Below are 11,608 nucleotides of genomic sequence, written 5' to 3' on the forward strand. Positions count from 1 at the left end.
GTTTATGGGCCACAGTGCAATACCAGCTGCCATACCAGGTCCTTCATCAGTTGGGTGGGTTTTCCATTTCAGTGATCCTCTAACTAGTAGTTAATGTCTATATTCAATGCTCAAAGCCAATTTTAAACTAATGATGAACCTCAGATATAAAATGTAACCACAGCACCTAAATCTAGGAGGTGCCTTCTATTACCCAAAGGTGAGATTCAAAAAGTAGGCCCTGTAACCCAGACATTCTGACCTGGAACCTTGAGACTAGTTATTTATAGCCATTTCCATGTTTGCTTCTTCCCTTGAGTTATGTGTACTTCCCTATCTCTCCCCGAATCACAAATTTGCTTGAAGATTAAAACTATCCTATTTCCCTTGTGACTAACCCCAATGCTTTCTTTACATGCAGTTACATAAAAGCTCTAAAGAGAAGCTTGGAGCAAGTTTTCTACTAAAATATCCTAATAGATGGCAACTTGATGACCTGGCTTGTGGCCCTTTCTGGCCCCCATCTCACCTTAGCCCTTTCCCAAACCTAAGGACTCCTTTTCAGCCTCTCCTTCAGTGAAAGTGCTTCCCTGTCAAAAGTTAAGGTGGAGTCTCACCTATTCTTTGCAATCTTAACCTCAGAGCTTTTATTCTACATTTTAAAATTATACCAGTTCTCGTATTGTCATTATTTTTCCTTCCTTAACAGCTTTAAGACATAATTCACATACCATACAATTCACCCATTTGAAATACACAAATGATTTTTCGTATATTCAGAGGTGTACAACCATTACCACAACCAACTGAAAAACAAACCCTGTACCCTTTAACCTCATCCCCCAACCCCCCATCACCCTGACCCGATCCCCTGGCAATCACTAATCTATATCCCACATCTATAGCTTTGCCTATTCTGGTCATTTTATATTAATAGAATCATGCAATATGTGGGCTTCTGTATCTGGCTTCTTTCACTCAGCATGATGTTTTCAAGGTTTATCTATGTTGTAGCATAAATCAGTACTTCATTTCCTTCTATGACTGAATAATACTCCATTGAATGAATACACCACATTTTGCTTATCTATTCGCCAGTTGGTAGACATTTGAGTTGTTTCTGCCTTTTTGGCTGTTATGAATATTACTGCTATGATCATTCAGATAAAAGTTTTTGTGTGGACATACATTTTCATTTCTCTTGGGTATATATCTAGGAGTGGAACTGCTGGGTCATATGGTAATTCTTATGTCTAACTTTTTGAAAAACTTCCAGATGGTTTTCCAAAGGGGCTGCAATATATTCCATTCCAACCAGCAATGCATGAAGGTTCCAGTTACCCCACATCCTCTCCACTACTTGTTATTATTGTCTGTGCTTGATTATAGCCAGCTTAGTGGGTGTGAAGTGGTATCTTTTTGTGGTTTCAATACGCATTTCCCTGATCACTAATGATTGTTGGGCATCTTTTCATGTGCTTATTAGTCATTTGTACATCTTCTTTGAAGAAATATCTATTCATATCATTTGCAATTATTCATTATTGAGTTGTAAGAGCTCTTCATATATTTTAGATACAAGTCCCTTATCCAATACAGGATTTAATCTGTAATTATTATGTTATCTTATTTTTTGTCCTCTCCATTAGAATGTAAGCTCCCTAACAAGAGGGAGACCATGTCTGTCTTTCCCCTTTCCATCTCCAATGCATACCAGATGCAAAATAGGTGTGAATGAATGAATGGCTACGCTATTGCGTACGTACCAGTTCTTGCACCTTCTCATTGCCACTTAGCCAAAGCAGCTCAATAATTTTTATCCCACCAGTTGGGCCCGTTCCCAATGGAAATAAGACCAAAAATGTCCTACATGTACCAAATTATGTTCCTTGGTCATAGTGACACTGTTCATTGCCTACTTGGCATTGATTCCCACGAGTCCTCCTTCAAAACAGAGCCCTAGGCTTGTCCTGGTATCCACTCCACCCCTATATGAACCAGGAAACTCCATCTGTCCCATTCCAGAAACTGGTTCTAACTGGTCTAAGCCAAACATAATAAACCCAGCCCTCTTGGAAGATGAATATTGCAAGAACCCAGGTTTAAGCCCACTGATGTTCAGCATTGCCCTGAAAAATGGCTACTAGTTCACAGGTGGGCAGGTAATCTAAGTTGATTTCCCTGTCTGGAGAGATGCCTCTTGTCCCAGATGCTGCTGGCAGCCACCTGGGAACTATATGGGAGACCAGCTAAAGGACGAAGCAGACACACAGACAAGGGTAGGGCTGAGATAACCACAGAGACAACAGGAGCCCTGGTTGTGCCATGCCTGGAGCCTGTCCAGCCTCTGGACAACCTGGTGCCTGAGATAACAAATTTCCTTAATGTTTAGGGTGATTTGAGTGACAACAAGCAGGGATTTCTGTTCTTCACAGTCAAATGCATCGTAATTGACACACTCATTAATCCTGGCATAGACGATCTACATTTCGAGAAATCTATGTTTCTCATGTGGCAACCTCAACAATTAACTCCTTTTAGTCATGTGACGCTAAGCCTCAAGCTTAATGTAAATTTCCAAAGAGGTTCTCAAACTAATCACCCCCTGATACCCAGGGATGCACCCCCATCCCAAAAGGCACTTGGTTCCTTCTCAGAAGATTCAAGTCCTCTTTTCCACAAAATTGGCAAAATAAAGGGTGGGGGCTAAGGATAAGAAATGATGGCCTTATCATGATCTAGAAGATGGCAGTTAGAGTAACAAAGGGCATTGATAGGCCCCATGTGCAGGTACATAAAGATTTTGCCTTTGGAAAGCCAAAAACATGAGAGCCTCCGCCCCCCACTCCCCACCCCTGTCCCCTCGCCGCCCATCTCCTCTGGAAGTGGGAGACTGTGGGAAATTTGGTCCTCTCTGAGCCCTGTGAATACCACCAGGCTAGACACCTTTTCCAGAGGCTCAGCTTGTAATCACTGGGTTCCTCACACTAAGCATCCATATTCCCCAGTAATTCAGCATGAAAGCCGTACCTCGAACCGATGTCTGTGTCTTTCTTCTATAAAAGGAACATCACCATAAAGTTTCCCTGTAAAGATACAAGAGCGAGATTAATATTAGAGTAAGCAGCTTCACAAGCACATCCATGATGCTTTGTGGAGGCAAGTGCCTGGATCACTATCTATCTATCAGAGGACTAAAAATGAACTAATAGACTCCATATAGTCATCTAGATTTTCTTCTTTTCTAATAGAAGATGGCGATAGCTTCTTTGAAAACCTGAAGCACTTCTCAAGTAAGCCATCACCATTGCATAAAAGGAAGCCAGATGCTACACAAGTCCACCACAGAATCCAGCAGATCTGCCCTCCTTATATACACCTGCCTGCAGGACTAAGAGACGGCCATGTCTGCACTATCGCTTCAGTGCAGATTTGTAATGAGCCTCATTTACAAAGGAAGAAAACAAAACTGGGGGCAGGGAAGAGACTTGCCCAAAGCCCTGCCTTGCTGGGCAGCGGAGCCTGTTCTTGATCCCAGGCTTCCTCACACCTGGCCCAATGCTTTCTCCACTCCACCAGCTGCCTCCAGATTTTCACACCGTACTGGCCACATTCAAAATGTACTCCACCTTAAAAATGTACCTATCCTATGATCCTACAGTTGGACTTCTCAGAATTTATCCCAGAAAATAGAAATGAGGACAAAGACTTAACCACAAAGATGTGCACTGCTGAATTATTTAATAGCAAATAATTGGAAGCAAGCTGAGCATCAAGAATAGACAAACTGGTGGATTAAATGATAGCACATCTATGCCAACAGCTCTTAACCAGGGGTGTGTGGCTGAGAATCATCTGGGGAGCTGCCTAAACATGCCTACGTAGCTGAGGCACTGCAGCTAAGCACAGCACCCTGGGCATGACCAGTGTGGCGATGGGCACGGCGATCAACGAGCTGCCTAGTGACTTCATTGTCAGGTGAATAGGAGTCGGATCCATCACCAAACACCTCTCAAGAATGCTCCCATTGGGAACATCACACACCGGGGCTTGTCGGGGGGTAGGGGGTTGGGGGAGGGATAGCATTAGGAGAATACCTAATGTAAATGATGAGTTGATGGGTGCAGCACACCAACATGGCACATGTATACCTATGTAACAAACCTGCACATTGTGCACATGTACCCTAGAACTTAAAGTATAATAATAATAATAATAATAATAATAATAAAAAGAATGCCCCTACTGGAGCATGTGGAGAAGCAGGATGGTCCAGGGACCAAGTGGGCTCCAGCACTGGAGCAGTCTGAGAGGACCAGAGACTCTTCCTACAGCACTAGCCCTCAAAACGCAGATCCCAGGTACACAGCCAAGGGTTAAGAAGATAACAGTGCTGGAAGTCATGCTGAAACTCCAACAGAATCAGAAGCCATGCTCAGTTCAACAGGCAGGGAATTATCAGACTCTCAAAGACATCATGAGGCTGGAACAGGATGTTTCAACCAAGAAAAACCAAATAAATGCTTTCTTTGCATCTTGTTTGAGCTTTTGACTTGGATCAAGCAAACACAAATGGGTTGTATTCTCATATAACTTTGTACGATCAATGATCACAGCTGAACTTCTATTTGCAATTCTGTCCATATAGACTGAGCTCCCTGGTGACGATATGAATGATAGTGAATATTTAAGGTATGTATTTTAGAAAAAAGGGGAATAGTGGGGGCAGGGAGTTCCTTTGAGAGAATGCGAACATACCACTGGCAGGGGTCATTCAGGACAGCCTAAACTAAAACAACTGCTTCATAAAAATTAAAATAAAAATGGGAAATAAAGCACAATAACATACAGTTAGAAAACACAGACGCATCAGGAAGGCCGGGCGCGGTGGCTCACACCTGTAATCCCAGCACTTTGGGAAGCTGAGAGGGGGAGGATCACTTAAGGTCAGGAGTTCAAGACCAGCCTGGCCAACATGGTGAAACCCCATCTCTACTAAACAAAAATTAGCCCAGCGTGGTGGTGCGCACCTGTAATCCCAGCTACTCAGGAGGCTGGGGCACGAGAATCACTTGAACCTGGAAGGCGGAGGTTGCAGTAAGCCAGGATGTCACCACTGCACTCCAACCTGCCAACCTTGGTGACAGAGCGAGATGCTGTCTCAAAAAAAAAAAAAGAAAGAAAAAGAAAAAGAAAGAAAACATAGAAGCATCAGGAAGTTGCCTCAGAGGATCCTAAGTGTCCTATGACCTCTGACTTTGACATTGATCTTTTCCTCCTATAGTCCAAAATTTCTTTTCTGTTCCCTTCATTACAATAGGTGATTTGTAAATCCAATACTAGAGTCTGCCAACATTTCTCGAGATGATGGGGAAAATGGCACAAATCTCCAAATTAGGATATAAGGAATCGTATCTTCGAGTCAAGGGGACTAGCAGGATATCATGAGAATGTTTGAAACTGCATGGTTTCTGACTGCTGCCTGGCTTAAGGCAGACTCTGTATTTGCTAAGATATCTCAGAGGTGACAGAAAGGGGTAGGGGAGTGTAGTGACTCTGAAGTCAGACTTCCTGGCTTTAAATTCCACTGTACTATTTAACGGATGTGTGGCTTGGGCATATTATTTAACCTCTCTACCTCAGTTTCCTCATCTATAAAATAGGGATTATGATAGTTCCTACTTCATAGAGTTGTAAGGATTAAATAAATCAAAATATGGGAAGCACTGAGAACAGAAAGCGAACCATTTCAGTGATTGATATTGTTATCTCCAGACAATAAAATCCAAATGAATGGAACTAGAACATAAGCTATACGAGGTAACAGACAAAATAGGGACCTGACCCTTCAATTATTTTTTTAAATCTTTTATTTTAAATTTTTGTGGGTATACAGTAGGTATATATATTTAGGGGGTACATGAGATGTTTTGATACAGGCATACAATGTGTAATAATCACATGATGGTGAATGGGGTATCCATCTCCTCAAGCATTTATCCTTTCAGTTACAAACAATCCAATTACTCTCTCTTAGAGTTATTTTTAAATGTACAATTAAATTATTACTGACTATAGTCACCCTGTTGTGCTATCAAATAGTAGGTCTTATTCATTCTTTCTACTTTTTGAACCCATTAACAATCCCCACCTCCCTACCAGCCCCCCACTACCCTTCCCAGCCCCTGGCAACCATCCTTCTGCTATCTCCATGGGTTCAATTGTTTTGGTTTTTAGATCCCACAAATAAGTGAGAACATGCGATGTTTGTCTTTCTGTGCCTGGCTTGTTTCACTTAACATAATGATCTCCAGTTCCATCTGTGCTGTGCAAATGACAGGATCTCATTCTTTGCTATGGCTGAATAGTACTCCATTGTGTATAAGTACATTTTCTTTATCCATTCATCTGTTGATGGACACTTAGGTCGCTTCTAAATCTTGGCTACTGTGACTGGTGCTGCAATAAACATGGGACTGCGATATCTCTTTGATATACTGACTTCCTTCCTTTCGGGTATATACCCAGCAGTCATCCCCTCAATTCTTTTTTTTTTTTTTTTTTTTTTTTTTTTTTTTCTGAGACGGAGTCTCACTCCGTCGCCAGGCTGGAGTGCAATGGTGCAATCTCAGCTCACTGCAACCTCCGCCTCCCGGGTTCAAGCAATTCTCCTGCCTCAGCCTCCCGAGTAGCTGGGACTACAGGTGTGTGCCACCATGCCTGGCTAATTTTTTGTATTTTTAGTAGAGACGGGGTTTCACCGTGTTAGCCAGGATGGTCTCTATCTCCTGACCTCGTGATCCACCCGCCTTAGGATTACAGGCGTGAGCCACCGCGCCTGGCCCATCCCCTCAATTCTTAAGACCAGCACCTAGCAGATAAGCAGGTACTCAATAATGAATTGTTGAATGAAATCAACATACAACAGATACGATATACAATGAAACATGTTTTCAGAACTTTGGAAATTCTATTTTATGCATTCAAAATCTTTCTTCATTGCTTACAAATCTATCAGAAATGAATTTACAAAATTAATCCATTGCTATACCTGTGAAAAAGGAAAAATTAAAATTTCCTTAAAAACTCTATGTTGAGAATCAGTTCAGAATGCTACCAATGAAATTCTATTTGAGAACATCCCGAAAACAAAATAAAACTAAGAATACTCATTCTGGAGCCCGGGTACCCCAGTACCATCGATTCTGATTTGATTACTCTCAGGAGAGTGTCTGGCCACGTGGGTTTTAAAAATGCACCACAAGTCACCCTGACATGCATTTCTGGTTAGAATCAACTAATCTACACCAACATTGAAAGTGCAGTATAAGAACATTCCACGACAAGGCAAAATGCTAGATACTGTTGAATGTAAAATCTAGGAGTAGAGTCAGAAACTGAGAGGTATACACACCACGTTCCTAAGAGCAGTCCTCTGTCACAGGTGCCATGAAATGATCCTAGGAATGGGGGAAAATCTCAACAACAAAGTGACTCAGTCTTTCTTTCTGTCCTAGTCTTTTTAGAGACAAAATAAAATGTTCACTTAAGAAGTAAATGTCAGCAAAGCTTTAGAGAAAGAAAACCAACAAAAGTCTTAGGACCTATAAAGCACTCCCAATGCAGGCAGAAAGACACCAAAAATGTGGATAAAAGGGTTATCAGAAACAAAAACCACCTTTCCAAATTATACCATCTCTTTCTCTAATTTGCTACTGGGTAAGATACTGCCTCATACATAATATATTTTTACCTGTTTAATGGTCCTGCCCATGCCTACCCTCATGTGAGTAATCCTAGCAACTGAACCTAATTTTTTCCTTTGTCCTTTTGAGAGCCAAAATATCCCCCCAAAAAAGCTACACAAGTTAAAAGGTGGAAGCAACCCAAATGTTCACTGAGGGATGAATGGATAAACAAAATGTGCATATCCATCCACACAATGGAATATTATTCTGCATTCGAAAGGAAGGAAATCCTGTCCCATGCTACAATATGGATGAACCTTGAGGACAATATGTTAAGTGAAATAAGCCACTCATAAAAGGACAAATACTGTATGATTCTACTTCAAGGAGGTATCGATAAAACGAGAGAGTTCCCTGACCCCCCTCACAGGACGTGCAACAGAGGTATGGCTCATCTGTTCAGCCACTGTGTGCACTCAAATCCCTTATGGGAGGGGGAGCACACAGACGGGCAGGTGCAGGATCCAGGGCGAACACTTTTGGGCTCCAGCCACACAGTAGTGTCTAGGAGTGGGTGCCTGTGACTCCGGAAACTCCACTGGGCTTGCTACAGTGCTCTTTTAGCTCTGCCGTCCATAGATGGCTTAAGTGTTAACCAGCTCAGTGCCTTCTTGGTGCCTGGGTTCTTGTCCGGAATTCAGAAAGAATCAGGTCACACATGGGCTTGAAGGATGGTGAATGCGGGGATTTTATTGAGTGGTGGAGGTGGCTCTCAGTGGGATGGATGGGGAGGAAGGAGATGGAGTGGGAAGATGATCTTCCCCTGGAGTTTGGCCGTCCAGCAGCCAATCTCCTCTCCAATGGTCCCCAGCCGGACTCCTCTCCATGTTCAGATGCTCCTTCTCTTCTCTCCTTCTCTGCCACACCACTCTTCTGCTCATGGAGCCTGGGGTTTGGGGTTTATATAGTACAGGATAGGGGGCATGGCGGGCCAAAAGGCAACATTTGGGGGTGAAAACAGGAATGCTTGTTCTTATTTAGGGCCACAGGTTTCCAGGCTTGAGGGTCGGGCCTTTGCCAGAGAATCGCCCTCTTCTGCCCAGTATTTCCCGGTCTCCTGTCCATATCATCTAGAGTAGTCAAACCCAAAGAGGCAGAAAATAGAGGCCAGGCATGGTGGCTCATGCCTGTAATCCCAGCACTTTGGGAGACCAAGGGGGGCAGATCACTTGAGGTCAGGAGATCGAGACCAGGCTGGCCAACATGGTGAAACTCCATCTCTACTAAATATACAAAAATTAGCTGGGCGTGGTGGTGGACACCTGTAATCCCAGCTACTCAGGAGGCTGAGGCAGGAGAATCGCTTGAACCTGGAGGCAGAGGTTGCACTGAGCCAAGATCATGCCACTGCACTCCAATCTGGGCAACAAAGTGAGACTCTGTCTCAAAAAAAAGAAAGAAAGAAAATAGAATGGTGGTTGCCAGGGGCCAGGGGAAGGGGGAGTTGCTATTTAATGGGTATAGTTTCTAGTTTTGCAAGATGAGAAGAGTTCTGGAGACTGTACAACAATGCAATGTACTTAACACAATTGAACTGTACACTAGGAAATGGTTAAGATGGTACATTTTATGTTATGTATATTTTACCACAATTAAAAATTTTTAAAATAAAAAACAAAAATCATCCAGCCCCACTCTTGTCCATGATGCCCTCTTGCTCTGACTCACCCTTTATTCAAACCTCCCACTCCCACCCTTTGCAACCTGGCTTTTGTTCCTGTGACTTTACAGAACTGCTCTCTAAAATCCAGCAGGTCTGTCTTCAGCTGCCACCCTTCCCCTTCTGTGACCTCTGCTCCTCCAGGCACTTTTTGCCCCATCTACCTGTTCATCATCCTCAACTGGGGACCCCTGCCCAAGACTGTACCCTCTTTTCTTCTCCCACATTCGCTCCCCTGGAAGCTATCACCCACATAGCTGTCCACTCCCATTCTATACCTTCTGATCCTTATCTTTCCCCCGGTGCCATATCTCCTATTTCCAGGGGGCTAAAGGCAATCACCCATAGCATCTAATACATTGGTACAAAAGTAACTGCAGTTTTTGCCATTATTTTCGACGGCAAAAACCGCAATTACTTTTGCACCAACTTAATAAAAAAGTAAAACCACTACCTGCTGGGCTTCATTACCTCTTTTCTTGGTAGAATTGCCTTGCTTTTACACAAATGTCCTTTTTGCACCAGTGTCTTAATTTACTTCACTTTTAAGACTACCTGCAACCATGCCTTCTGCTAATTAGGCATTTTAAGGACCAGAGCCCTCTCGTATGTGCAAGAATTTGCTGATGCTTATCTAATTCAGTGCTTATCTAATTCAAAGATCCTAAGAGGCTGCCCAGGGTGCAGATATTTGTTGTATTTCGCTTGCAGAGTGCTGGCAAACACACAATATTTTAAAAATGTAAATAAGTTGCCAACATTTAAACGTCAGGAGATTTTACATAAAACTCCAGATTTCCAGATTTTCTTGAAAATTTAGAAGACTGGCAGCAGTGAATCCACAGTTCTTGATACAACTACCAGCTGTGGAAGTCACTTCTTTGATGGGGCACATGCTTGCTGATTTGCCACAGTCCCTACCACTCCTTACTGCCTCTCTAACTCTAAGGCTCAGTGTAGCTGCTGCTGATTGTTGAGCTTAAGCTGTGGCATTTCTCACACCTGCCTGTCTGCATGCCCTACTGGCCTAGATGCTCAGTGCAAAACTGACTCAGTGCTTGTGTCTATCCTTAAGCTAAACCCGCGGTTTCAGACTGGCTTTCAGAAGAGGCCTGGGGTAGGGTCTTCGCTTTCTGCACCCCCTGCTCTCCACCCACCAGACACCCCCGAAACCTGCAAAACCTTTTCTCAGGATTCTCAGTGAGGGCAGCATCCAGCTCTGGGAGCTGTTTGGGTTTTTCTGCCTCTTCTTTGATTAAGGTCCAGCCGTTTGGTACAGTGAGGTGGTCAAAGAGTCAGCTCAATGACTTTCTAACAAGTGACCTGGATGAGTGACTTAACTTTGCTAAGATTCCTTTCTTTTGTGCAAAATGGTGGCTGGGTCCTAGGGGTGATGAGAGCAATGTCTTAATTACTGGTGTGCAGAAAGCACCGAGTTGCAGCCAGCCACAGCTGGCTCCTTTATTTCTCCTTTACTTTCTCCTATATTTCTCCTTTATTTCTTACTTTTGAATTTTAGAATGTCATTTCTCCAATTTTTATAAAATATTTCATTTCTTTTAGTATCTAAACTCCTCCCCCTTCCCTAATTTTATCTTCCTAATCTGCTTTTATCTCAATTTTTTAGTATAATACATCTGAGTTGAAAAATGCGTCTTTGCTTTTAACTCTATATTATAGCATTACATTCTTTTTCATCACTTTTTTTGTTCTTTTTGTTTTGTTTTTTAAAACGGAGTCTCACTCTGTCGCCCAGGCTGGAGTGCAGTGGTGTGATCTCGGCTCACTGCAACCTCCACTTCCTGGGTTCAAGTGATTCTCCTGACTCAGTCTCTCAAGTAGCTGGGATTACAGGCATGCACCATCACGCCTGGCTAATTTTTGTAGTTTTAGTAGAGACGGGGTTTCTCCATGTTGGCCAGGCTGGTCTCAAAGTCCTGACCTCAAGTGATTCACCCACCTCGGCCTCCCAAAGTGCTGGGATTACAGACGTAAGCCACCACACCCCACCTTTCATCACTTTCATTTGTTTTCCATTTAGTATTCTTACCTCATTCTTGGCATCTCTTTTCTTAGATCTTATGCATTGGCAAGTGGGGAGCTAGCAGCCAAGAAAGACAGAATAGAAATAACCTTGCAAGAGCAAGGGAAAGCCTATTCTTCCCTCCCACTCCCCTAGTGGGACCTCATTCTTAATGCCAGGTCACTAACCGACGTTTGC

The 11,608-nt window shown here is 43.0% G+C and overlaps 1 protein-coding gene and 1 non-coding gene across 10 annotated transcripts in view; both read right to left on the minus strand.

The window, feature by feature from the left end:
• CTPS2 (CTP synthase 2) overlaps positions 1-11,608 on the minus strand; it is a 124,912-nt gene that overhangs the window by 29,269 nt on the left and 84,035 nt on the right. For all 9 annotated transcript variants that reach the window (NM_019857.5, XM_006724503.4, XM_047442260.1 and 6 more), the window contains one exon: positions 3,010-3,065. In NM_019857.5, coding sequence (NP_062831.3) covers positions 3,010-3,065 — 56 coding nt within the window. The remainder of the gene's footprint in view (positions 1-3,009; positions 3,066-11,608) is intronic.
• Positions 9,745-9,818, minus strand: MIR548AM (microRNA 548am). The gene has a single exon (NR_039762.1). It is a non-coding gene; the product is annotated as a microRNA 548am (primary transcript).

Source organism: Homo sapiens, chromosome X (assembly GCF_000001405.40).
Source record: "Homo sapiens chromosome X, GRCh38.p14 Primary Assembly".
Classification (NCBI taxonomy): Eukaryota; Metazoa; Chordata; class Mammalia; order Primates; family Hominidae; genus Homo; species Homo sapiens.